The sequence below is a fragment of the Homo sapiens genome, chromosome 5 (genome assembly GCF_000001405.40).
Source record: "Homo sapiens chromosome 5, GRCh38.p14 Primary Assembly".
Lineage (NCBI taxonomy): Eukaryota > Metazoa > Chordata > Mammalia > Primates > Hominidae > Homo > Homo sapiens.
In genome coordinates, this window is record NC_000005.10 from 50,113,757 (window position 1) to 50,140,692 (window position 26,936).

Consider the following 26,936-nt stretch of genomic DNA (forward strand, 5'->3'; position numbering starts at 1 on the left):
AAATTTGGGAGTAGAATGCACACATCACGAAGAAGTTTCTGAGAATGCTTCTGTCTAGTTTATATGTGAAGATATTCCCATTTCCAGCAAAGATCTCAAAGCTGTCCAAATATCCACTTGCGGATCCCACAAACAGAGTGTTTCAAAACTGCTCTACGGAAAGGTATGTTCAACTCTGTGAGTTTACTGCAGACATCCTAAAGAAGTTTCTGAGAATGCTGCTGTCTAGTTTAATGTGAATATCTTTTCTTTTCCGCCATAGCCCTCAACGAGCTCCAAATATCCACTTTCAGATTCTACAGAGTGTTTCAAAACTGCTCTATCAAAAAAAAGTTTCAACTCGGTGAGTCGAATGCACATATCACAAAGCAGTTTCTGAGAATGCTTTCCTCTATTTTTCCCAGGAAGATATTTCCTTTTGGACCGTAGGACTCAAATCGCTCCAGATATCCACATGCAGATTCTACAAAAAGAGTGTTTCCAAACTGCCCTATCAAAAGGAAGATTCAACTCTGGTAGTTGAATGCAAACATCACAAAGAAGTTTCTCAGAATGCTTCTGTCTAGTTTTTAGAGGCAGATATTTCTTTTTCTACCATAGGCCTCAAAGCGCTCCAAATATCCACTTGCAGATTCTCCAAAAACAGTGTTTCAAAACTGCTCCATAAAAAGGAAGGTTCAACTCTGTGAGTTGAATGGACAGATCACAAAGAAGTTTCTGAGAATGCTTCTGTCTAGTGTTTATGTGAAGATATTCCCGTCTCCGATGAAGGCCTCAAAGCAGTCCAAATATCCACTTGCAGATTCTACAAAAATAGTGTCTCAAAACTACTCTATGGAAAGGTATGTTCAACACTGTGAGATGAATGCAAACGTCACAAAGAAGTTGCTGAGAATGCTTCAGTCTAGTTTCCATGGGAAGACATTTCCTTTTGCACCACAGCCCTCAAAGCACTCCAAATGTCTACTTGCAGATTCGACAAAAGAGTTTTTCAAAACTGCTCTATCAAAAGAAAGGTACAACGCTGTCAGATGAATCAACATATCACAAAAAAGTTTCTGAGAATGCCTCTATCTACTTTTTCTGTGAAGATATTCCGGTTTCCAACGAAGGCCTCAAAGCGCTCCAAATATCTACTTGCAGATTCTAGAAGAAGAGTGTTTCAAAACTGCTCTATTAAAGGAAGGTTCAACTCTGTGAGTTGAATTCACACATCACAAAGAACTTTCTGACAATGCTTCTATCTAGTTTTTATGTGAAGGTATTACTGTTTCCTATGAAGGCCTCAAAGTGGTCCGAATATCCACTTGCAGATTCTACAAAAAGAGGTTTTCAAAACTGCTCTATGAAGAGGTATGTTCAACTCTGTGAGTTGAATGCAAACATCACAAAGTAGTTTCTGAGAATGCTTCTGTCTAGTTTTTAGGGGAAGATATCTCCATTGGCACAATAGCCCTCAAAGCGCTCCAAGTATCCACTGGCAGATTCTAGCAAAAGAGTGTTTCAAAACTGCTCTGTGAAAAGAAATGTTCAACTGTGTTAGTTGAATGCCCACATTACAAAGATGATTGTGAGAATATTTCTGTCTAGTTTTTATTAGAAGATATTCCCGTTTCCACCAAAGGACACAAAGCGAAGCCCATTATCCGCTTGCAGACCTTACAAAAACACGTTTCAAAACTGCTCTATCAAAGGAAAGGTTCATCTCTCTGGGTTCAACGCACACATCACAAAGAAGTTTCTGAGAATGCTTCTGGCTAGTTTGTGTGTGAAGATATTCCCATTTCCAACAAAGGCTTCAAAGCGCTCCAAAGATTCACCTGCAATTGTTCAAAAGAGTGTTTCAAAACTGTTCTATCAAAAGGAAGGTTCAACTCTGTGAGTTGAAGGCACGCTTCACATAAATGATTCCGAGAATGCTTCTTTCTAGTTTTTATGGGAAGATGTTTCCTTCTCCACCATAGCCCTCAAAGCGCTCCAAGTGTCCGCTGGCAGATTCCACAGAAACAGTGTTTCAAAACTGCTCTAACAAAAGAAAGATTCAACTCCGTGGTTTGAATGCACACATCACAAAGCATTTTCTGTGAATCCTTCTGTCTAGTTTTTATATGAGGATATTTCCTTTTCAACCACGGGCATCCAAGTGTTCCAATTCTCCAATTGTAGATTGCACAAATAGAGTGTTTCAAAACTGCTTAATGAGAAGGAAGATTCAAATTTGGGAGTAGAATGCACACATCACGAAGAAGTTTCTGAGAATGCTTCTGTCTAGTTTATATGTGAAGATATTCCCATTTCCAGCAAAGATCTCAAAGCTGTCCAAATATCCACTTGTGGATCCCACAGAGTGTTTCAAAACTGCTCTACGGAAAGGTATGTTCAACTCTGTGAGTTTACTGCAGACATCCTAAAGAAGTTTCTGAGAATGCTGCTGTCTAGTTTAATGTGAATATATTTTCTTTTCCGCCATAGCCCTCAAAGAGCTCCAAATATCCACTTTCAGATTCTACAGAGTGTTTCAAAACTGCTCTATCAAAAAAAAGTTTCAACTCGGTGAGTCGAATGCACATATCACAAAGCAGTTTCTGAGAATGCTTTCGTCTATTTTTCCCAGGAAGATATTTCCATTTTGACCATAGGCCTCAAATCGCTCCAGATATCCACATGCAGATTCTACAAAAAGAGTGTTTCCAAACTGCCCTATCAAAAGGAAGATTCAACTCTGGTAGTTGAATGCAAACATCACAAAGAAGTTTCTCAGAATGCTTCTGTCTAGTTTTTAGAGGCAGATATTTCTTTTTCTACCATAGGCCTCAAAGCGCTCCAAATATCCACTTGCAGATTCTCCAAAAACAGTGTTTCAAAACTGCTCCATAAAAAGGAAGGTTCAACTCTGTGAGTTGAATGGACAGATCACAAAGTAGTTTCTGAGAATGCTTCTGTCTAGTGTTTATGTGAAGATATTCCCGTCTCCGATGAAGGCCTCAAAGCAGTCCAAATATCCGCTTGCAGATTCTACAAAAATAGTGTCTCAAAACTACTCTATGGAAAGGTATGTTCAACACTGTGAGATGAATGCAAACGTCACAAAGAAGTTGCTGAGAATGCTTCAGTCTAGTTTCCATGGGAAGACATTTCCTTTGGCACCACAGCCCTCAAAGCACTCCAAATGTCTACTTGCAGATTCGACAAAAGAGTTTTTCAAAACTGCTCTATCAAAAGAAAGGTTCAACGCTGTCAGATGAATCAACATATCACAAAAGAGTTTCTGAGAATGCCTCTATCTACTTTTTCTGTGAAGATATTCCGGTTTCCAACGAAGGCCTCAAAGCGCTCCAAATATCTACTTGCAGATTCTAGAAGAAGAGTGTTTCAAAACTGCTCTATTAAAGGAAGGTTCAACTCTGTGAGTTGAATTCACACATCACAAAGAACTTTCTGACAATGCTTCTATCTAATTTTTATGTGAAGGTATTACTGTTTCCTATGAAGGCCTCAAAGTGGTCCGAATATCCACTTGCAGATTCTACAAAAAGAGGTTTTCAAAACTGCTCTATGAAGAGGTATGTTCAACTCTGTGAGTTGAATGCAAACATCACAAAGTAGTTTCTGAGAATTCCTCTGTCTAGTTTTTAGGGGAAGATATCTCCATTGGCACAATAGCCCTCAAAGCCCTCCAAGTATCCACTGGCAGATTCTAGCAAAAGAGTGTTTCAAAACTGCTCTGTGAGAAGAAATGTTCAACTGTGTTAGTTGAATGCCCACATCACAAAGACGATTGTGAGAATATTTCTGTCTAGTTTTTATTAGAAGATATTCCCGTTTCCACCAAAGGACACAAAGCGAAGCCCATTATCCGCTTGCAGACCTTACAAAAACACGTTTCAAAACTGCTCTATCAAAGGAAAGGTTCATCTCTCTGGGTTCAACGCACACATCACAAAGAAGTTTCTGAGAATGCTTCTGGCTAGTTTGTGTGTGAAGATATTCCCATTTCCAACAAAGGCTTCAAAGCGCTCCAAAGATTCACCTGCAATTGTTCAAAAGAGTGTTTCAAAACTGTTCTATCAAAAGGAAGGTTCAACTCTGTGAGTTGAAGGCACGCTTCACATAAATGTTTCCGAGAATGCTTCTTTCTAGTTTTTATGGGAAGATGTTTCCTTCTCCACCATAGCCCTCAAAGCGCTCCAAGTGTCCGCTGGCAGATTCCACAGAAACAGTGTTTCAAAACTGCTCTAACAAAAGAAAGATTCAACTCCGTGATTTGAATGCACACATCACAAAGCATTTTCTGTGAATCCTTCTGTCTAGTTTTCATATGAGGATATTTCCTTTTCTACCATGGGCATCAAAGGGTTCCAATTATCCAATTGTAGATTGCACAAATAGAGTGTTTCAAAACTGCTTCATGAGAAGGAAGATTCAAATTTGGGAGTAGAATGCACACATCACGAAGAAGTTTCTGAGAATGCTTCTGTCTAGTTTATATGTGAAGATATTCCCATTTCCAGCAAAGATCTCAAAGCTGTCCAAATATCCACTTGCGGATCCCACAAACAGAGTGTTTCAAAACTGCTCTACGGAAAGGTATGTTCAACTCTGTGAGTTTACTGCAGACATCCTAAAGAAGTTTCTGAGAATGCTGCTGTCTAGTTTAATGTGAATATATTTTCTTTTCCGCCATAGCCCTCAAAGAGCTCCAAATATCCACTTTCAGATTCTACAGAGTGTTTCAAAACTGCTCTATCAAAAAAAAGTTTCAACTCGGTGAGTCGAATGCACATATCACAAAGCAGTTTCTGAGAATGCTTTCCTCTATTTTTCCCAGGAAGATATTTCCTTTTGGACCGTAGGCCTCAAATCGCTCCAGATATCCACATGCAGATTCTACAAAAAGAGTGTTTCCAAACTGCCCTATCAAAAGGAAGATTCAACTCTGGTAGTTGAATGCAAACATCACAAAGAAGTTTCTCAGAATGCTTCTGTCTAGTTTTTAGAGGCAGATATTTCTTTTTCTACCATAGGCCTCAAAGCGCTCCAAATATCCACTTGCAGATTCTCCAAAAACAGTGTTTCAAAACTGCTCCATAAAAAGGAAGGTTCAACTCTGTGAGTTGAATGGACAGATCACAAAGTAGTTTCTGAGAATGCTTCTGCCTAGTGTTTATGTGAAGATATTCCCGTCTCCGATGAAGGCCTCAAAGCAGTCCAAATATCCACTTGCAGATTCTACAAAAATAGTGTCTCAAAACTACTCTATGGAAAGGTATGTTCAACACTGTGAGATGAATGCAAACGTCACAAAGAAGTTGCTGAGAATGCTTCAGTCTAGTTTCCATGGGAAGACATTTCCTTTGGCACCACAGCCCTCAAAGCACTCCAAATGTCTACTTGCAGATTCGACAAAAGAGTTTTTCAAAACTGCTCTATCAAAAGAAGGGTTCAACGCTGTCAGATGAATCAACATATCACAAAAAAGTTTCTGAGAATGCCTCTATCTACTTTTTCTGTGAAGATATTCCAGTTTCCAACGAAGGCCTCAAAGCGCTCCAAATATCTACTTGCAGATTCTAGAAGAAGAGTGTTTCAAAACTGCTCTATTAAAGGAAGGTTCAACTCTGTGAGTTGAATTCACACATCACAAAGAACTTTCTGACAATGCTTCTATCTAGTTTTTATGTGAAGGTATTACTGTTTCCTATGAAGGCCTCAAAGTGGTCCGAATATCCACTTGCAGATTCTACAAAAAGAGGTTTTCAAAACTGCTCTATGAAGAGGTATGTTCAACTCTGTGAGTTGAATGCAAACATCACAAAGTAGTTTCTGAGAATGCTTCTGTCTAGTTTTTAGGGGAAGATATCTCCATTGGCACAATAGCCCTCAAAGCGCTCCAAGTATCCACTGGCAGATTCTAGCAAAAGAGTGTTTCAAAACTGCTCTGTGAGAAGAAATGTTCAACTGTGTTAGTTGAATGCCCACATCACAAAGACGATTGTGAGAATATTTCTGTCTAGTTTTTATTAGAAGATATTCCCGTTTCCACCAAAGGACACAAAGCGAAGCCCATTATCCGCTTGCAGACCTTACAAAAACACGTTTCAAAACTGCTCTATCAAAGGAAAGGTTCATCTCTCTGGGTTCAACGCACACATCACAAAGAAGTTTCTGAGAATGCTTCTGGCTAGTTTGTGTGTGAAGATATTCCCATTTCCAACAAAGGCTTCAAAGCGCTCCAAAGATTCACCTGCAATTGTTCAAAAGAGTGTTTCAAAACTGTTCTATCAAAAGGAAGGTTCAACTCTGTGAGTTGAAGGCACGCTTCACATAAATGTTTCCGAGAATGCTTCTTTCTAGTTTTTATGGGAAGATGTTTCCTTCTCCACCATAGCCCTCAAAGCGCTCCAAGTGTCCGCTGGCAGATTCCACAGAAACAGTGTTTCAAAACTGCTCTAACAAAAGAAAGATTCAACTCCGTGATTTGAATGCACACATCACAAAGCATTTTCTGTGAATCCTTCTGTCTAGTTTTTATATGAGGATATTTCCTTTTCTACCATGGGCATCAAAGGGTTCCAATTATCCAATTGTAGATTGCACAAATAGAGTGTTTCAAAACTGCTTCATGAGAAGGAAGATTCAAATTTGGGAGTAGAATGCACACATCACGAAGAAGTTTCTGAGAATGCTTCTGTCTAGTTTATATGTGAAGATATTCCCATTTCCAGCAAAGATCTCAAAGCTGTCCAAATATCCACTTGCGGATCCCACAAACAGAGTGTTTCAAAACTGCTCTACGGAAAGGTATGTTCAACTCTGTGAGTTTACTGCAGACATCCTAAAGAAGTTTCTGAGAATGCTGCTGTCTAGTTTAATGTGAATATATTTTCTTTTCCGCCATAGCCCTCAAAGAGCTCCAAATATCCACTTTCAGATTCTACAGAGTGTTTCAAAACTGCTCTATCAAAAAAAAGTTTCAACTCGGTGAGTCGAATGCACATATCACAAAGCAGTTTCTGAGAATGCTTTCGTCTATTTTTCCCAGGAAGATATTTCCTTTTTGACCATAGGCCTCAAATCGCTCCAGATATCCACATGCAGATTCTACAAAAAGAGTGTTTCCAAACTGCCCTATCAAAAGGAAGATTCAACTCTGGTAGTTGAATGCAAACATCACAAAGAAGTTTCTCAGAATGCTTCTGTCTAGTTTTTAGAGGCAGATATTTCTTTTTCTACCATAGGCCTCAAAGCGCTCCAAATATCCACTTGCAGATTCTCCAAAAACAGTGTTTCAAAACTGCTCCATAAAAAGGAAGGTTCAACTCTGTGAGTTGAATGGACAGATCACAAAGTAGTTTCTGAGAATGCTTCTGCCTAGTGTTTATGTGAAGATATTCCCGTCTCCGATGAAGGCCTCAAAGCAGTCCAAATATCCGCTTGCAGATTCTACAAAAATAGTGTCTCAAAACTACTCTATGGAAAGGTATGTTCAACACTGTGAGATGAATGCAAACGTCACAAAGAAGTTGCTGAGAATGCTTCAGTCTAGTTTCCATGGGAAGACATTTCCTTTGGCACCACAGCCCTCAAAGCACTCCAAATGTCTACTTGCAGATTCGACAAAAGAGTTTTTCAAAACTGCTCTATCAAAAGAAAGGTTCAACGCTGTCAGATGAATCAACATATCACAAAAAAGTTTCTGAGAATGCCTCTATCTACTTTTTCTGTGAAGATATTCCGGTTTCCAACGAAGGCCTCAAAGCGCTCCAAATATCTACTTGCAGATTCTAGAAGAAGAGTGTTTCAAAACTGCTCTATTAAAGGAAGGTTCAACTCTGTGAGTTGAATTCACACATCACAAAGAACTTTCTGACAATGCTTCTATCTAGTTTTTATGTGAAGGTATTACTGTTTCCTATGAAGGCCTCAAAGTGGTCCGAATATCCACTTGCAGATTCTACAAAGAGAGGTTTTCAAAACTGCTCTATGAAGAGGTATGTTCAACTCTGTGAGTTGAATGCAAACATCACAAAGTAGTTTCTGAGAATGCTTCTGTCTAGTTTTTAGGGGAAGATATCTCCATTGGCACAATAGCCCTCAAAGCGCTCCAAGTATCCACTGGCAGATCCTAGCAAAAGAGTGTTTCAAAACTGCTCTGTGAGAAGAAATGTTCAACTGTGTTAGTTGAATGCCCACATCACAAAGACGATTGTGAGAATATTTCTGTCTAGTTTTTATTAGAAGATATTCCCGTTTCCACCAAAGGACACAAAGCGAAGCCCATTATCCGCTTGCAGACCTTACAAAAACACGTTTCAAAACAGCTCTATCAAAGGAAAGGTTCATCTCTCTGGGTTCAACGCACACATCACAAAGAAGTTTCTGAGAATGCTTCTGGCTAGTTTGTGTGTGAAGATATTCCCATTTCCAACAAAGGCTTCAAAGCGCTCCAAAGATTCACCTGCAATTGTTCAAAAGAGTGTTTCAAAACTGTTCTATCAAAAGGAAGGTTCAACTCTGTGAGTTGAAGGCACGCTTCACATAAATGTTTCCGAGAATGCTTCTTTCTAGTTTTTATGGGAAGATGTTTCCTTCTCCACCATAGCCCTCAAAGCGCTCCAAGTGTCCGCTGGCAGATTCCACAGAAACAGTGTTTCAAAACTGCTCTAACAAAAGAAAGATTCAACTCCGTGATTTGAATGCACACATCACAAAGCATTTTCTGTGAATCCTTCTGTCTAGTTTTTATATGAGGATATTTCCTTTTCTACCATGGGCATCAAAGGGTTCCAATTATCCAATTGTAGATTGCACAAATAGAGTGTTTCAAAACTGCTTCATGAGAAGGAAGATTCAAATTTGGGAGTAGAATGCACACATCACGAAGAAGTTTCTGAGAATGCTTCTGTCTAGTTTATATGTGAAGATATTCCCATTTCCAGCAAAGATCTCAAAGCTGTCCAAATATCCACTTGCGGATCCCACAAACAGAGTGTTTCAAAACTGCTCTACAGAAAGGTATGTTCAACTCTGTGAGTTTACTGCAGACATCCTAAAGAAGTTTCTGAGAATGCTGCTGTCTAGTTTAATGTGAATATATTTTCTTTTCCGCCATAGCCCTCAAAGAGCTCCAAATATCCACTTTCAGATTCTACAGAGTGTTTCAAAACTGCTCTATCAAAAAAAAGTTTCAACTCGGTGAGTCGAATGCACATATCACAAAGCAGTTTCTGAGAATGCTTTCGTCTATTTTTCCCAGGAAGATATTTCCTTTTTGACCATAGGCCTCAAATCGCTCCAGATATCCACATGCAGATTCTACAAAAAGAGTGTTTCCAAACTGCCCTATCAAAAGGAAGATTCAACTCTGGTAGTTGAATGCAAACATCACAAAGAAGTTTCTCAGAATGCTTCTGTCTAGTTTTTAGAGGCAGATATTTCTTTTTCTACCATAGGCCTCAAAGCGCTCCAAATATCCACTTGCAGATTCTCCAAAAACAGTGTTTCAAAACTGCTCCATAAAAAGGAAGATTCAACTCTGTGAGTTGAATGGACAGATCACAAAGTAGTTTCTGAGAATGCTTCTGCCTAGTGTTTATGTGAAGATATTCCCGTCTCCGATGAAGGCCTCAAAGCAGTCCAAATATCCACTTGCAGATTCTACAAAAATAGTGTCTCAAAACTACTCTATGGAAAGGTATGTTCAACACTGTGAGATGAATGCAAACGTCACAAAGAAGTTGCTGAGAATGCTTCAGTCTAGTTTCCATGGGAAGACATTTCCTTTGGCACCACAGCCCTCAAAGCACTCCAAATGTCTACTTGCAGATTCGACAAAAGAGTTTTTCAAAACTGCTCTATCAAAAGAAAGGTTCAACGCTGTCAGATGAATCAACATATCACAAAAAAGTTTCTGAGAATGCCTCTATCTACTTTTTCTGTGAAGATATTCCGGTTTCCAACGAAGGCCTCAAAACGCTCCAAATATCTACTTGCAGATTCTAGAAGAAGAGTGTTTCAAAACTGCTCTATTAAAGGAAGGTTCAACTCTGTGAGTTGAATTCACACATCACAAAGAACTTTCTGACAATGCTTCTATCTAGTTTTTATGTGAAGGTATTACTGTTTCCTATGAAGGCCTCAAAGTGGTCCGAATATCCACTTGCAGATTCTACAAAAAGAGGTTTTCAAAACTGCTCTATGAAGAGGTATGTTCAACTCTGTGAGTTGAATGCAAACATCACAAAGTAGTTTCTGAGAATGCTTCTGTCTAGTTTTTAGGGGAAGATATCTCCATTGGCACAATAGCCCTCAAAGCGCTCCAAGTATCCACTGGCAGATTCTAGCAAAAGAGTGTTTCAAAACTGCTCTGTGAGAAGAAATGTTCAACTGTGTTAGTTGAATGCCCACATCACAAAGACGATTGTGAGAATATTTCTGTCTAGTTTTTATTAGAAGATATTCCCGTTTCCACCAAAGGACACAAAGCGAAGCCCATTATCCGCTTGCAGACCTTACAAAAACACGTTTCAAAACTGCTCTATCAAAGGAAAGGTTCATCTCTCTGGGTTCAACGCACACATCACAAAGATGTTTCTGAGAATGCTTCTGGCTAGTTTGTGTGTGAAGATATTCCCATTTCCAACAAAGGCTTCAAAGCGCTCCAAAGATTCACCTGCAATTGTTCAAAAGAGTGTTTCAAAACTGTTCTATCAAAAGGAAGGTTCAACTCTGTGAGTTGAAGGCACGCTTCACATAAATGTTTCCGAGAATGCTTCTTTCTAGTTTTTATGGGAAGATGTTTCCTTCTCCACCATAGCCCTCAAAGCGCTCCAAGTGTCCGCTGGCAGATTCCACAGAAACAGTGTTTCAAAACTGCTCTAACAAAAGAAAGATTCAACTCCGTGATTTGAATGCACACATCACAAAGCATTTTCTGTGAATCCTTCTGTCTAGTTTTTATATGAGGATATTTCCTTTTCTACCATGGGCATCAAAGGGTTCCAATTATCCAATTGTAAATTGCACAAATAGAGAGTTATAAAACTGCTTCATGAGAAGGAAGATTCAAATTTGGGAGTAGAATGCACACATCACGAAGAAGTTTCTGAGAATGCTTCTGTCTAGTTTATATGTGAAGATATTCCCATTTCCAGCAAAGATCTCAAAGCTGTCCAAATATCCACTTGCGGATCCCACAAACAGAGTGTTTCAAAACTGCTCTACGGAAAGGTATGTTCAACTCTGTGAGTTTACTGCAGACATCCTAAAGAAGTTTCTGAGAATGCTGCTGTCTAGTTTAATGTGAATATATTTTCTTTTCCGCCATAGCCCTCAAAGAGCTCCAAATATCCACTTTCAGATTCTACAGAGTGTTTCAAAACTGCTCTATCAAAAAAAAGTTTCAACTCGGTGAGTCGAATGCACATATCACAAAGCAGTTTCTGAGAATGCTTTCGTCTATTTTTCCAAGGAAGATATTTCCTTTTTGACCATAGGCCTCAAATCGCTCCAGATATCCACATGCAGATTCTACAAAAAGAGTGTTTCCAAACTGCCCTATCAAAAGGAAGATTCAACTCTGGTAGTTGAATGCAAACATCACAAAGAAGTTTCTCAGAATGCTTCTGTCTAGTTTTTAGAGGCAGATATTTCTTTTTCTACCATAGGCCTCAAAGCGCTCCAAATATCCACTTGCAGATTCTCCAAAAACAGTGTTTCAAAACTGCTCCATAAAAAGGAAGGTTCAACTCTGTGAATTGAATGGACAGATCACAAAGTAGTTTCTGAGAATGCTTCTGCCTAGTGTTTATGTGAAGATATTCCCGTCTCCGATGAAGGCCTCAAAGCAGTCCAAATATCCGCTTGCAGATTCTACAAAAATAGTGTCTCAAAACTACTCTATGGAAAGGTATGTTCAACACTGTGAGATGAATGCAAACGTCACAAAGAAGTTGCTGAGAATGCTTCAGTCTAGTTTCCATGGGAAGACATTTCCTTTGGCACCACAGACCTCAAAGCACTCCAAATGTCTACTTGCAGATTCGACAAAAGAGTTTTTCAAAACTGCTCTATCAAAAGAAAGGTTCAACGCTGTCAGATGAATCAACATATCACAAAAAAGTTTCTGAGAATGCCTCTATCTACTTTTTCTGTGAAGATATTCCGGTTTCCAACGAAGGCCTCAAAGCGCTCCAAATATCTACTTGCAGATTCTAGAAGAAGAGTGTTTCAAAACTGCTCTATTAAAGGAAGGTTCAACTCTGTGAGTTGAATTCACACATCACAAAGAACTTTCTGACAATGCTTCTATCTAGTTTTTATGTGAAGGTATTACTGTTTCCTATGAAGGCCTCAAAGTGGTCCGAATATCCACTTGCAGATTCTACAAAAAGAGGTTTTCAAAACTGCTCTATGAAGAGGTATGTTCAACTCTGTGAGTTGAATGCAAACATCACAAAGTAGTTTCTGAGAATGCTTCTGTCTAGTTTTTAGGGGAAGATATCTCCATTGGCACAATAGCCCTCAAAGCGCTCCAAGTATCCACTGGCAGATTCTAGCAAAAGAGTGTTTCAAAACTGCTCTGTGAGAAGAAATGTTCAACTGTGTTAGTTGAATGCCCACATCACAAAGACGATTGTGAGAATATTTCTGTCTAGTTTTTATTAGAAGATATTCCCGTTTCCACCAAAGGACACAAAGCGAAGCCCATTATCCGCTTGCAGACCTTACAAAAACACGTTTCAAAACTGCTCTATCAAAGGAAAGGTTCATCTCTCTGGGTTCAACGCACACATCACAAAGAAGTTTCTGAGAATGCTTCTGGCTAGTTTGTGTGTGAAGATATTCCCATTTCCAACAAAGGCTTCAAAGCGCTCCAAAGATTCACCTGCAATTGTTCAAAAGAGTGTTTCAAAACTGTTCTATCAAAAGGAAGGTTCAACTCTGTGAGTTGAAGGCACGCTTCACATAAATGTTTCCGAGAATGCTTCTTTCTAGTTTTTATGGGAAGATGTTTCCTTCTCCACCATAGCCCTCAAAGCGCTCCAAGTGTCCGCTGGCAGATTCCACAGAAACAGTGTTTCAAAACTGCTCTAACAAAAGAAAGATTCAACTCCGTGATTTGAATGCACACATCACAAAGCATTTTCTGTGAATCCTTCTGTCTAGTTTTTATATGAGGATATTTCCTTTTCTACCATGGGCATCAAAGGGTTCCAATTATCCAATTGTAGATTGCACAAATAGAGAGTTTCAAAACTGCTTCATGAGAAGGAAGATTCAAATTTGGGAGTAGAATGCGCACATCACGAAGAAGTTTCTGAGAATGCTTCTGTCTAGTTTATATGTGAAGATATTCCCATTTCCAGCAAAGATCTCAAAGCTGTCCAAATATCCACTTGCGGATCCCACAAACAGAGTGTTTCAAAACTGCTCTATGGAAAGGTATGTTCAACTCTGTGAGTTTACTGCAGACATCCTAAAGAAGTTTCTGAGAATGCTGCTGTCTAGTTTAATGTGAATATATTTTCTTTTCCGCCATAGCCCTCAAAGAGCTCCAAATATCCACTTTCAGATTCTACAGAGTGTTTCAAAACTGCTCTATCAAAAAAAAGTTTCAACTCGGTGAGTCGAATGCACATATCACAAAGCAGTTTCTGAGAATGCTTTCGTCTATTTTTCCCAGGAAGATATTTCCTTTTTGACCATAGGCCTCAAATCGCTCCAGATATCCACATGCAGATTCTACAAAAAGAGTGTTTCCAAACTGCCCTATCAAAAGGAAGATTCAACTCTGGTAGTTGAATGCAAACATCACAAAGAAGTTTCTCAGAATGCTTCTGTCTAGTTTTTAGAGGCAGATATTTCTTTTTCTACCATAGGCCTCAAAGCGCTCCAAATATCCACTTGCAGATTCTCCAAAAACAGTGTTTCAAAACTGCTCCATAAAAAGGAAGGTTCAACTCTGTGAGTTGAATGGACAGATCACAAAGTAGTTTCTGAGAATGCTTCTGCCTAGTGTTTATGTGAAGATATTCCCGTCTCCGATGAAGGCCTCAAAGCAGTCCAAATATCCACTTGCAGATTCTACAAAAATAGTGTCTCAAAACTACTCTATGGAAAGGTATGTTCAACACTGTGAGATGAATGCAAACGTCACAAAGAAGTTGCTGAGAATGCTTCAGTCTAGTTTCCATGGGAAGACATTTCCTTTGGCACCACAGCCCTCAAAGCACTCCAAATGTCTACTTGCAGATTCGACAAAAGAGTTTTTCAAAACTGCTCTATCAAAAGAAAGGTTCAACGCTGTCAGATGAATCAACATATCACAAAAAAGTTTCTGAGAATGCCTCTATCTACTTTTTCTGTGAAGATATTCCGGTTTCCAACGAAGGCCTCAAAGCGCTCCAAATATCTACTTGCAGATTCTAGAAGAAGAGTGTTTCAAAACTGCTCTATTAAAGGAAGGTTCAACTCTGTGAGTTGAATTCACACATCACAAAGAACTTTCTGACAATGCTTCTATCTAGTTTTTATGTGAAGGTATTACTGTTTCCTATGAAGGCCTCAAAGTGGTCCGAATATCCACTTGCAGATTCTACAAAAAGAGGTTTTCAAAACTGCTCTATGAAGAGGTATGTTCAACTCTGTGAGTTGAATGCAAACATCACAAAGTAGTTTCTGAGAATGCTTCTGTCTAGTTTTTAGGGGAAGATATCTCCATTGGCACAATAGCCCTCAAAGCGCTCCAAGTATCCACTGGCAGATTCTAGCAAAAGAGTGTTTCAAAACTGCTCTGTGAGAAGAAATGTTCAACTGTGTTAGTTGAATGCCCACATCACAAAGACGATTGTGAGAATATTTCTGTCTAGTTTTTATTAGAAGATATTCCCGTTTCCACCAAAGGACACAAAGCGAAGCCCATTATCCGCTTGCAGACCTTACAAAAACACGTTTCAAAACTGCTCTATCAAAGGAAAGGTTCATCTCTCTGGGTTCAACGCACACATCACAAAGAAGTTTCTGAGAATGCTTCTGGCTAGTTTGTGTGTGAAGATATTCCCATTTCCAACAAAGGCTTCAAAGCGCTCCAAAGATTCACCTGCAATTGTTCAAAAGAGTGTTTCAAAACTGTTCTATCAAAAGGAAGGTTCAACTCTGTGAGTTGAAGGCACGCTTCACATAAATGTTTCCGAGAATGCTTCTTTCTAGTTTTTATGGGAAGATGTTTCCTTCTCCACCATAGCCCTCAAAGCGCTCCAAGTGTCCGCTGGCAGATTCCACAGAAACAGTGTTTCAAAACTGCTCTAACAAAAGAAAGATTCAACTCCGTGATTTGAATGCACACATCACAAAGCATTTTCTGTGAATCCTTCTGTCTAGTTTTTATATGAGGATATTTCCTTTTCTACCATGGGCATCAAAGGTTTCCAATTATCCAATTGTAGATTGCACAAATAGAGAGTTATAAAACTGCTTCATGAGAAGGAAGATTCAAATTTGGGAGTAGAATGCACACATCACGAAGAAGTTTCTGAGAATGCTTCTGTCTAGTTTATATGTGAAGATATTCCCATTTCCAGCAAAGATCTCAAAGCTGTCCAAATATCCACTTGCGGATCCCACAAACAGAGTGTTTCAAAACTGCTCTACGGAAAGGTATGTTCAACTCTGTGAGTTTACTGCAGACATCCTAAAGAAGTTTCTGAGAATGCTGCTGTCTAGTTTAATGTGAATATATTTTCTTTTCCGCCATAGCCCTCAAAGAGCTCCAAATATCCACTTTCAGATTCTACAGAGTGTTTCAAAACTGCTCTATCAAAAAAAAGTTTCAACTCGGTGAGTCGAATGCACATATCACAAAGCAGTTTCTGAGAATGCTTTCGTCTATTTTTCCCAGGAAGATATTTCCTTTTTGACCATAGGCCTCAAATCGCTCCAGATATCCACATGCAGATTCTACAAAAAGAGTGTTTCCAAACTGCCCTATCAAAAGGAAGATTCAACTCTGGTAGTTGAATGCAAACATCACAAAGAAGTTTCTCAGAATGCTTCTGTCTAGTTTTTAGAGGCAGATATTTCTTTTTCTACCATAGGCCTCAAAGCGCTCCAAATATCCACTTGCAGATTCTCCAAAAACAGTGTTTCAAAACTGCTCCATAAAAAGGAAGGTTCAACTCTGTGAGTTGAATGGACAGATCACAAAGTAGTTTCTGAGAATGCTTCTGCCTAGTGTTTATGTGAAGATATTCCCGTCTCCGATGAAGGCCTCAAAGCAGTCCAAATATCCGCTTGCAGATTCTACAAAAATAGTGTCTGAAAACTACTCTATGGAAAGGTATGTTCAACACTGTGAGATGAATGCAAACGTCACAAAGAAGTTGCTGAGAATGCTTCAGTCTAGTTTCCATGGGAAGACATTTCCTTTGGCACCACAGCCCTCAAAGCACTCCAAATGTCTACTTGCAGATTCAACAAAAGAGTTTTTCAAAACTGCTCTATCAAAAGAAAGGTTCAACGCTGTCAGATGAATCAACATATCACAAAAAAGTTTCTGAGAATGCCTCTATCTACTTTTTCTGTGAAGATATTCCGGTTTCCAACGAAGGCCTCAAAGCGCTCCAAATATCTACTTGCAGATTCTAGAAGAAGAGTGTTTCAAAACTGCTCTATTAAAGGAAGGTTCAACTCTGTGAGTTGAATTCACACATCACAAAGAACTTTCTGACAATGCTTCTATCTAGTTTTTATGTGAAGGTATTACTGTTTCCTATGAAGGCCTCAAAGTGGTCCGAATATCCACTTGCAGATTCTACAAAAAGAGGTTTTCAAAACTGCTCTATGAAGAGGTATGTTCAACTCTGTGAGTTGAATGCAAACATCACAAAGTAGTTTCTGAGAATGCTTCTGTCTAGTTTTTAGGGGAAGATATCTCCATTGGCACAATAGCCCTCAAAGCGCTCCAAGTATCCACTGGCAGATTCTAGCAAAAGAGTGTTTCAAAACTGCTCTGTGAGAAGAAATGTTCAACTGTGTTAGTTGAATGCCCACATCACAAAGACGATTGTGAGAATATTTCTGTCTAGTTTTTATTAGAAGATATTCCCGTTTCCACCAAAGGACACAAAGCGAAGCCCATTATCCGCTTGCAGACCTTACAAAAACACGTTTCAAAACTGCTCTATCAAAGGAAAGGTTCATCTCTCTGGGTTCAACGCACACATCACAAAGAAGTTTCTGAGAATGCTTCTGGCTAGTTTGTGTGTGAAGATATTCCCATTTCCAACAAAGGCTTCAAAGCGCTCCAAAGATTCACCTGCAATTGTTCAAAAGAGTGTTTCAAAACTGTTCTATCAAAAGGAAGGTTCAACTCTGTGAGTTGAAGGCACGCTTCACATAAATGTTTCCGAGAATGCTTCTTTCTAGTTTTTATGGGAAGATGTTTCCTTCTCCACCATAGCCCTCAAAGCGCTCCAAGTGTCCGCTGGCAGATTCCACAGAAACAGTGTTTCAAAACTGCTCTAACAAAAGAAAGATTCAACTCCGTGATTTGAATGCACACATCACAAAGCATTTTCTGTGAATCCTTCTGTCTAGTTTTTATATGAGGATATTTCCTTTTCTACCATGGGCATCAAAGGGTTCCAATTATCCAATTGTAGATTGCACAAATAGAGTGTTTCAAAACTGCTTCATGAGAAGGAAGATTCAAATTTGGGAGTAGAATGCACACATCACGAAGAAGTTTCTGAGAATGCTTCTGTCTAGTTTATATGTGAAGATATTCCCATTTCCAGCAAAGATCTCAAAGCTGTCCAAATATCCACTTGCGGATCCCACAAACAGAGTGTTTCAAAACTGCTCTACGGAAAGGTATGTTCAACTCTGTGAGTTTACTGCAGACATCCTAAAGAAGTTTCTGAGAATGCTGCTGTCTAGTTTAATGTGAATATATTTTCTTTTCCGCCATAGCCCTCAAAGAGCTCCAAATATCCACTTTCAGATTCTACAGAGTGTTTCAAAACTGCTCTATCAAAAAAATGTTTCAACTCGGTGAGTCGAATGCACATATCACAAAGCAGTTTCTGAGAATGCTTTCGTCTATTTTTCCCAGGAAGATATTTCCTTTTTGACCATAGGCCTCAAATCGCTCCAGATATCCACATGCAGATTCTACAAAAAGAGTGTTTCCAAACTGCCCTATCAAAAGGAAGATTCAACTCTGGTAGTTGAATGCAAACATCACAAAGAAGTTTCTCAGAATGCTTCTGTCTAGTTTTTAGAGGCAGATATTTCTTTTTCTACCATAGGCCTCAAAGCGCTCTAAATATCCACTTGCAGATTCTCCAAAAACAGTGTTTCAAAACTGCTCCATAAAAAGGAAGGTTCAACTCTGTGAGTTGAATGGACAGATCACAAAGTAGTTTCTGAGAATGCTTCTGCCTAGTGTTTATGTGAAGATATTCCCGTCTCCGATGAAGGCCTCAAAGCAGTCCAAATATCCACTTGCAGATTCTACAAAAATAGTGTCTCAAAACTACTCTATGGAAAGGTATGTTCAACACTGTGAGATGAATGCAAACGTCACAAAGAAGTTGCTGAGAATGCTTCAGTCTAGTTTCCATGGGAAGACATTTCCTTTGGCACCACAGCCCTCAAAGCACTCCAAATGTCTACTTGCAGATTCGACAAAAGAGTTTTTCAAAACTGCTCTATCAAAAGAAAGGTTCAACGCTGTCAGATGAATCAACATATCACAAAAAAGTTTCTGAGAATGCCTCTATCTACTTTTTCTGTGAAGATATTCCGGTTTCCAACAAAGGCCTCAAAGCGCTCCAAATATCTACTTGCAGATTCTAGAAGAAGAGTGTTTCAAAACTGCTCTATTAAAGGAAGGTTCAACTCTGTGAGTTGAATTCACACATCACAAAGAACTTTCTGACAATGCTTCTATCTAGTTTTTATGTGAAGGTATTACTGTTTCCTATGAAGGCCTCAAAGTGGTCCGAATATCCACTTGCAGATTCTACAAAAAGAGGTTTTCAAAACTGCTCTATGAAGAGGTATGTTCAACTCTGTGAGTTGAATGCAAACATCACAAAGTAGTTTCTGAGAATGCTTCTGTCTAGTTTTTAGGGGAAGATATCTCCATTGGCACAATAGCCCTCAAAGCGCTCCAAGTATCCACTGGCAGATTCTAGCAAAAGAGTGTTTCAAAACTGCTCTGTGAAAAGAAATGTTCAACTGTGTTAGTTGAATGCCCACATCACAAAGACGATTGTGAGAATATTTCTGTCTAGTTTTTATTAGAAGATATTCCCGTTTCCACCAAAGGACACAAAGCGAAGCCCATTATCCGCTTGCAGACCTTACAAAAACACGTTTCAAAACTGCTCTATCAAAGGAAAGGTTCATCTCTCTGGGTTCAACGCACACATCACAAAGAAGTTTCTGAGAATGCTTCTGGCTAGTTTGTGTGTGAAGATATTCCCATTTCCAACAAAGGCTTCAAAGCGCTCCAAAGATTCACCTGCAATTGTTCAAAAGAGTGTTTCAAAACTGTTCTATCAAAAGGAAGGTTCAACTCTGTGAGTTGAAGGCACGCTTCACATAAATGTTTCCGAGAATGCTTCTTTCTAGTTTTTATGTGAAGATATTTCCTTCTCCACCATAGCCCTCAAAGCGCTCCAAGTGTCCGCTGGCAGATTCCACAGAAACAGTGTTTCAAAACTGCTCTAACAAAAGAAAGATTCAACTCCATGATTTGAATGCACACATCACAAAGCATTTTCTGTGAATCCTTCTGTCTAGTTTTTATATGAGGATATTTCCTTTTCTACCATGGGCATCAAAGCGTTCCAATTATCCCATTGTAGATTGGACAAATAGAGTGTTTCAAAACTGCTTCATGAAAAGGAAGATTCAAATTTGGGAGTAGAATGCACACATCACGAAGAAGTTTCTGAGAATGCTTCTGTCTAGTTTATATGTGAAGATATTCCCATTTCCAGCAAAGGTCTCAAAGCGGTCCAAATATCCACTTGCGGATCCCACAAACAGAGTGTTTCAAAACTGCTCTACGGAAAGGTATGTTCAACTCTGTGAGTTTACTGTAAACATCCTAAAGAAGTTTCTGAGAGTGCTGCTGTCTAGTTTAATGTGAATATATTTTCTTTTCCGCCATAACCCTCAAAGAGCTCCTAATATCCACTTTCAGTTTCTACAGAGTGTTTCAAAACTGCTCTATCAAAAAAAAGTTTCAACTCGGTGAGTCGAATGCACATATCACAAAGCAGTTTCTGAGAATGCTTTCGTCTATTTCTCCCAGGAAGATATTTCCTTTTTGACCGTAGGCCTCAAATCGCTCCAGATATCCACATGCAGATTCTACAAAAAGAGTGTTTCCAAACTGCCCTATCAAAAGGAAGGTTCAACTCTGGTAGTTGAATGCAAACATCACAAAGAAGTTTCTCAGAATGCTTCTGTCTAGTTGTTATAGGCAGATATTTCTTTTTCTACCATAGGCCACAAAGCGCTCCAAATATCCACTTGAAGATTCTCCAAAAACAGTGTTTCAAAACTGCTCCATAAAAAGGAAGGTTCAACTCTGTGAGTTGAATGGACAGATCACAAAGAAGTTTCTGAGAATGCTTCTGTCTAGTGTTTATGTGAAGATATTCCCGTTTCCGATTTAGGCCTCAAAGCAGTCCAAATATCCACTTGCAGATTCTACAAAAATAGTGTTTCAAAACTACTCTATGGAAAGGTATGTTCAACACTGTGAGATGAATGCAAACGTCACAAAGAAGTTGCTGAGAATGCTTCAGTCTAGTTTCTATGGGAAGACATTTCCTTTTGCACCACAGCCCTCAAAGCACTCCAAATGTCTACATGCAGATTCGATAAAAGAGTTTTTCAAAACTGCTCTATCAAAAGAAAGGTTCAAAGCTGTGAGTTGAATCTACATATCACAAAAAAGTTTCTGAGAATGCCTCTATCTACTTTTTATGTGAAGATATTCCGGTTTCCAACGAAGGCCTCAATGCGCTCCAAATATCTACTTGCAGATTCTAGAAAAAGAGTGTTTCAAAACTGCTCTATTAAAGGAAGGTTCAACTCTGTGAGTTGAATTCACACATCACAAAGAACTTTCTGACAATGCTTCTGTCTAGTTTTTATGTGAAGATATTACTGTTTCCTATGAAGGCCTCAAAGTGGTCCGAATATCCACTTGCAGATTCTACAAAAAGAGGTTTGCAAAACTGCTCTATGAAGAGGTATGTTCACCTGTGTGAGTTGAATGCAAACATCACAAAGCAGTTTCTGAGAATGTTTCTGTCTAGTTTTTAGGGGAAGATATTTCCATTGGCACAATAGCCCTCAAAGCGCTCAAAATATCCACTGGCAGATTCTACCAAAAGAGTCTTTCAAAACTGCTCTGTGAAAAGAAATGTTCAACTGTGTTAGTTGAATGCCCACATCACAAAGAAGATTCTGAGAATATTTCTGTCTAGTTTTTATTAGAAGATATTCCCGTTTCCACCAAAGGACACAACGCGAAGCCAATTATCTGCTTGCAGATGTGAGGAAAACACGTTTCAAAACAGCTCTATCAAAGGAAAGGTTCATCTCTCTGGGTTCAACGCACACATCACAAAGAAGTTTCTGAGAATGCTTCTGGCTAGTTTGTGTGTGAATATATTCCTATTTCCAACAAAGGCTTCAAAGCGCTCCAAAGATTCACCTGCAATTGTTCAAAAGAGTGTTTCAAAACTGTTCTGTGAAAAGAAATGTTCAACTGTGTTAGTTGAATGCCCACATCACAAAGAAGATTCTGAGAATATTTCTGTCTAGTTTTTATTAGAAGATATTCCCGTTTCCACCAAAGGACACAAAGCGAAGCCAATTATCCGCTTGCAGATCTTACAAAAACACGTTTCAAAACTGCTCTATCAAAGGAAAGGTTCATCTCTCTGGGTTCAACGCACACATCACAAAGAAGTTTCTGAGAATGCTTCTGGCTAGTTTGTGTGTGAAGATATTCCCATTTCCAACAAAGGCTTCAAAGCGCTCCAAAGATTCACCTGCAATTGTTCAAAAGAGTGTTTCAAAACTGTTCTCTCAAAAGAAAGGTTCAACTCTGTGAGTTGAATGCACGCTTCACATAAATGTTTCCGAGAATGCTTCTTTCTAGTTTTTATGGGAAGATATTTCCTTCTCCACCATAGCCCTCAAAGCGCTCCAAGTGTCCACTGGCAGATTCCACAGAAACAGTGTTTCAAAACTGCTCTAACAAAAGAAAGATTCAACTCCATGATTTGAATGCACACATCACAAAGCATTTTCTGTGAATCCTTCTGTCTAGTTTTTATATGAGGATATTTCCTTTTCTACCATGGGCATCAAAGCGTTCCAATTATCCCATTGTAGATTGGACAAATAGAGTGTTTCAAAACTGCTTCATGAAAAGGAAGATTCAAATTTGGGAGTAGAATGCACACATCACGAAGAAGTTTCTGAGAATGCTTCTGTCTAGTTTATATGTGAAGATATTCCCATTTCCAGCAAAGGTCTCAAAGCGGTCCAAATATCCACTTGCGGATCCCACAAACAGAGTGTTTCAAAACTGCTCTACGGAAAGGTATGTTCAACTCTGTGAGTTTACTGTAAACATCCTAAAGAAGTTTCTGAGAGTGCTGCTGTCTAGTTTAATGTGAATATATTTTCTTTTCCGCCATAACCCTCAAAGAGCTCCTAATATCCACTTTCAGTTTCTACAGAGTGTTTCAAAACTGCTCTATCAAAAAAAAGTTTCAAATCGGTGAGTCGAATGCACATATCACAAAGCAGTTTCTGAGAATGCTTTCGTCTATTTTTCCCAGGAAGATATTTCCTTTTTGACCATAGGCCTCAAATCGCTCCAGATATCCACATGCAGATTCTACAAAAAGAGTGTTTCCAAACTGCCCTATCAAAAGGAAGGTTCAACTAAGGTAGTTGAATGCAAACATCACAAAGAAGTTTCTCAGAATGCTTCTGTCTAGTTGTTATAGGCAGATATTTCTTTTTCTACCATAGGCCACAAAGCGCTCCAAATATCTACTTGAAGATTCTCCAAAAACAGTGTTTCAAAACTGCTCCATAAAAAGGAAGGTTCAACTCTGTGAGTTGAATGGACAGATCACAAAGAAGTTTCTGAGAATGCTTCTGTCTAGTGTTTATGTGAATATATTCCCGTTTCCGATGGAGGCCTCAAAGCAGTCCAAATATCCACTTGCAGATTCTACAAAAATAGTGTTTCAAATCTACTCTATGGAAAGGTATGTTCAACACTGTGAGATGAATGCAAACGTCACAAAGAAGTTGCTGAGAATGCTTCAGTCTAGTTTCTATGGGAAGACATTTCCTTTTACACCACAGCCCTCAAAGCACTCCAAATGTCTACATGCAGATTCGATAAAAGAGTTTTTCAAAACTGCTCTATCAAAAGAAAGGTTCAACGCTGTGAGTTGAATCTACATATCACAAAAAAGTTTCTGAGAATGCCTCTATCTACTTTTTGTGTGAAGATATTCCGGTTTCCAACGAAGGCCTCAATGCGCTCCAAATATCTACTTGCAGATTCTAGAAAAAGAGTGTTTCAAAACTGCTCTATTAAAGGAAGGTTCAACTCTGTGAGTTGAATTCACACATCACAAAGAACTTGCTGACAATGCTTCTATCTAGTTTTTATGTGAAGATATTACTGTTTCCTATGAAGGCCTCAAAGTGGTCCGAATATCCACTTGCAGATTCTACAAAAAGAGGTTTGCAAAACTGCTCTATGAAGAGGTATGTTCACCTCTGTGAGTTGAATGCAAACATCACAAAGCAGTTTCTGAGAATGCTTCTGTCTAGTTTTTAGGGGAAGATATTTCCATTGGCACAATAGCCCTCAAAGCGCTCCAAATATCCACTGGCAGATTCTACCAAAAGAGTCTTTCAAAACTGCTCTGTGAAAAGAAATGTTCAACTGTGTTAGTTGAATGCCCACATCACAAAGAAGATTCTGAGAATATTTCTGTCTAGTTTTTATTAGAAGATATTCCCGTTTCCACCAAAGGACACAAAGCGAAGCCAATTATCCGCTTGCAGATGTTAGAAAAACACGTTTCAAAACTGCTCTATCAAAGGAAAGGTTCATCTCTCTGGGTTCAACGCACACATCACAAAGAAGTTTCTGAGAATGCTTCTGGCTAGTTTGTGTGTTTGAAGATATTCCCATTTCCAACAAAGCCTTCAAAGCGCTCCAAGATTCTCCTGCAATTGTTCAAAAGAGTGTTTCAAAACTGTTCTGTGAAAAGAAATGTTCAACTGTGTTAGTTGAATGCCCACATCACAAAGAAGATTCTGAGAATATTTCTGTCTAGTTTTTATTAGAAGATATTCCCGTTTCCACCAAAGGACACAAAGCGAAGCCAATTATCCGCTTGCAGATCTTACAAAAACACGTTTCAAAACTGCTCTATCAAAGGAAAGGTTCATCTCTCTGGGTTCAACGCACACATCACAAAGAAGTTTCTGAGAATGCTTCTGGCTAGTTTGTGTGTGAAGATATTCCCATTTCCAACAAAGCCTTCAAAGCACTCCAAAGATTCACCTGCAATTGTTCAAAAGAGTGTTTCAAAACTGTTCTCTCAAAAGAAAGGTTCAACTCTGTGAGTTGAATGCACGCTTCACATAAATGTTTCCGAGAATGCTTCTTTCTAGTTTTTATGTGAAGATATTTGCTTCTCCACCATAGCCCTCAAAGCGCTCCAAGTGTCCGCTGGCAGATTCCACAGAAACAGTGTTTCAAAACTGCTCTAACAAAAGAAAGATTCAACTCCGTGATTTGAATGCACACATCACAAAGCATTTTCTGTGAATCCTTCTGTCTAGTTTTTATATGAGGATATTTCCTTTTCTACCATGGGCATCAAAGCGTTCCAATTATCCCATTGTAGATTGGACAAATAGAGTGTTTCAAAACTGCTTCATGAAAAGGAAGATTCAAATTTGGGAGTAGAATGCACACATCACGAAGAAGTTTCTGAGAATGCTTCTGTCTAGTTCATATGTGAAGATATTCCCATTTCCAGCAAAGGTCTCAAAGCGGTCCAAATATCCACTTGCGGATCCCGCAAACAGAGTGTTTCAAAACTGCTCTACAGAAAGGTATGTTCAACTCTGTGAGTTTACTGTAAACATCCTAAAGAAGTTTCTGGGAGTGCTGCTGTCTAGTTTAATGTGAATATATTTTCTTTTCCGCCATAGCCCTCAAAGAGCTCCAAATATCCACTTTCAGATCCTACAGAGTGTTTCAAAACTGCTCTATCCAAAAAAAGTTTCAACTCGGAGAGTCGAATGCACATATCACAAAGCAGTTTCTGAGAATGCTTTCGTCTATTTTTCCCAGGAAGTTATTTCCTTTTTGACCATAGGCCTCAAATCGCTCCAGATATCCACATGCAGATTCTACAAAAAGAGTGTTTCCAAACTGCCCTATCAAAAGGAAGGTTCAACTCTGGTAGTTGAATGCAAACATCACAAAGAAGTTTCTCAGAATGCTTCTGTCTAGCTGTTATAGGCAGATATTTCTTTTTCTACCATAGGCCACAAAGCGCTCCAAATATCTACTTGCAGATTCTCCAAAAACAGTGTTTCAAAACTGCTCCATAAAAAGGAAGGTTCAACTCTGTGAGTTGAATGGACAGATCACAAAGAAGTTTCTGAGAATGCTTCTGTCTAGTGTTTATGTGAAGATATTCCCGTTTCCGATGAAGGCCTCAGAGCAGTCCAAATATCCACTTGCAGATTCTACAAAAATAGTGTTTCAAAACTACTCTATGGAAAGGTATGTTCAACACTGTGAGATGAATGCAAACGTCACAAAGAAGTTGCTGAGAATGCTTCAGTCTAGTTTCTATGTGAAGACATTTCCTTTTGCACCACAGCCCTCAAAGCACTCCAAATGTCCACATGCAGATTCGATAAAAGAGTTTTTCAAAACTGCTCTATCAAAAGAAAGGTTCAACGCTGTGAGTTGAATCTACATATCACAAAAAAGTTTCTGAGAATGCCTCTATCTACTTTTTATGTGAAGATATTCCGGATTCCAACGAAGGCCTCAAAGCGCTCCAAATATCTACTTGCAGATTCTAGAAAAAGAGTGTTTCTAAACTGCTCTATTAAAGGAAGGTTCAACTCTGTGAGTTGAATTCACACATCACAAAGAACTTTCTGACAATGCTTCTATCTAGTTTTTATGTGAAGATATTACTCTTTCCTATGAAGGCCTCAAAGTGGTCCGAATATCCACTTGCAGATTCTACAAAAAGAGGTTTGCAAAACTGCTCTATGAAGAGGTATGTTCACCTCTGTGAGTTGAATGCAAACATCACAAAGCAGTTTCTGAGAATGCTTCTGTCTAGTTTTTAGGGGAAGATATTTCCATTGGCACAATAGCCCTCAAAGCGCTCCAAATATCCACTGGCAGATTCTACCAAAAGAGTCTTTCAAAACTGCTCTGTGAAAAGAAATGTTCAACTGTGTTAGCTGAATGCCCACATCACAAAGAAGATTCTGAGAATATTTCTGTCTAGTTTTTATTACAAGATATTCCCGTTTCCACCAAAGGACACAACGCGAAGCCAATTATCCGCTTGCAGATGTTAGAAAAACACGTTTCAAAACAGCTCTATCAAAGGAAAGGTTCATCTCTCTGGGTTCAATGCACACATCACAAAGAAGTTTCTGAGAATGCTTCTGGCTAGTTTGTGTGTGAATATATTCCTATTTCCAACAAAGGCTTCAAAGCGCTCCAAAGATTCACCTGCAATTGTTCAAAAGAGTGTTTCAAAACTGTTCTGTGAAAAGAAATGTTCAACTGTGTTAGTTGAATGCCCACATCACAGAGA

The 26,936-nt window shown here is 39.0% G+C and overlaps 10 annotated features.

Annotated features, from left to right (window-relative positions):
- Nucleotides 1,149-1,714: an enhancer, noted in NCBI's record as "OCT4-NANOG-H3K27ac hESC enhancer chr5:49410739-49411304 (GRCh37/hg19 assembly coordinates)". NCBI's record gives its function as "activates a minimal SCP1, AML or CMV promoter by ChIP-STARR-seq in primed H9 embryonic stem cells {active_cell/tissue: H9 hESC(primed)}" and the evidence as "EXISTENCE:reporter gene assay evidence [ECO:0000049][PMID:30033119]".
- Nucleotides 1,715-2,280: an enhancer, noted in NCBI's record as "OCT4-NANOG-H3K27ac hESC enhancer chr5:49411305-49411870 (GRCh37/hg19 assembly coordinates)". NCBI's record gives its function as "activates a minimal SCP1, AML or CMV promoter by ChIP-STARR-seq in naive H9 embryonic stem cells {active_cell/tissue: H9 hESC(naive)}" and the evidence as "EXISTENCE:reporter gene assay evidence [ECO:0000049][PMID:30033119]".
- Nucleotides 9,239-9,780: an enhancer, noted in NCBI's record as "OCT4-NANOG hESC enhancer chr5:49418829-49419370 (GRCh37/hg19 assembly coordinates)". NCBI's record gives its function as "activates a minimal SCP1, AML or CMV promoter by ChIP-STARR-seq in primed H9 embryonic stem cells {active_cell/tissue: H9 hESC(primed)}" and the evidence as "EXISTENCE:reporter gene assay evidence [ECO:0000049][PMID:30033119]".
- Nucleotides 13,103-13,646: an enhancer, noted in NCBI's record as "OCT4-NANOG-H3K27ac hESC enhancer chr5:49422693-49423236 (GRCh37/hg19 assembly coordinates)". NCBI's record gives its function as "activates a minimal SCP1, AML or CMV promoter by ChIP-STARR-seq in primed H9 embryonic stem cells {active_cell/tissue: H9 hESC(primed)}" and the evidence as "EXISTENCE:reporter gene assay evidence [ECO:0000049][PMID:30033119]".
- Nucleotides 13,647-14,188: an enhancer, noted in NCBI's record as "OCT4-NANOG-H3K27ac hESC enhancer chr5:49423237-49423778 (GRCh37/hg19 assembly coordinates)". NCBI's record gives its function as "activates a minimal SCP1, AML or CMV promoter by ChIP-STARR-seq in primed H9 embryonic stem cells {active_cell/tissue: H9 hESC(primed)}" and the evidence as "EXISTENCE:reporter gene assay evidence [ECO:0000049][PMID:30033119]".
- Nucleotides 18,754-19,594: an enhancer, noted in NCBI's record as "OCT4-NANOG-H3K27ac hESC enhancer chr5:49428344-49429184 (GRCh37/hg19 assembly coordinates)". NCBI's record gives its function as "activates a minimal SCP1, AML or CMV promoter by ChIP-STARR-seq in primed H9 embryonic stem cells {active_cell/tissue: H9 hESC(primed)}" and the evidence as "EXISTENCE:reporter gene assay evidence [ECO:0000049][PMID:30033119]".
- Nucleotides 19,595-20,433: an enhancer, noted in NCBI's record as "OCT4-NANOG-H3K27ac-H3K4me1 hESC enhancer chr5:49429185-49430023 (GRCh37/hg19 assembly coordinates)". NCBI's record gives its function as "activates a minimal SCP1, AML or CMV promoter by ChIP-STARR-seq in primed H9 embryonic stem cells {active_cell/tissue: H9 hESC(primed)}" and the evidence as "EXISTENCE:reporter gene assay evidence [ECO:0000049][PMID:30033119]".
- Nucleotides 22,113-22,952: an enhancer, noted in NCBI's record as "OCT4-NANOG-H3K27ac hESC enhancer chr5:49431703-49432542 (GRCh37/hg19 assembly coordinates)". NCBI's record gives its function as "activates a minimal SCP1, AML or CMV promoter by ChIP-STARR-seq in primed H9 embryonic stem cells {active_cell/tissue: H9 hESC(primed)}" and the evidence as "EXISTENCE:reporter gene assay evidence [ECO:0000049][PMID:30033119]".
- Nucleotides 22,953-23,792: an enhancer, noted in NCBI's record as "OCT4-NANOG-H3K27ac hESC enhancer chr5:49432543-49433382 (GRCh37/hg19 assembly coordinates)". NCBI's record gives its function as "activates a minimal SCP1, AML or CMV promoter by ChIP-STARR-seq in primed H9 embryonic stem cells {active_cell/tissue: H9 hESC(primed)}" and the evidence as "EXISTENCE:reporter gene assay evidence [ECO:0000049][PMID:30033119]".
- Nucleotides 23,793-24,632: an enhancer, noted in NCBI's record as "OCT4-NANOG-H3K27ac hESC enhancer chr5:49433383-49434222 (GRCh37/hg19 assembly coordinates)". NCBI's record gives its function as "activates a minimal SCP1, AML or CMV promoter by ChIP-STARR-seq in primed H9 embryonic stem cells {active_cell/tissue: H9 hESC(primed)}" and the evidence as "EXISTENCE:reporter gene assay evidence [ECO:0000049][PMID:30033119]".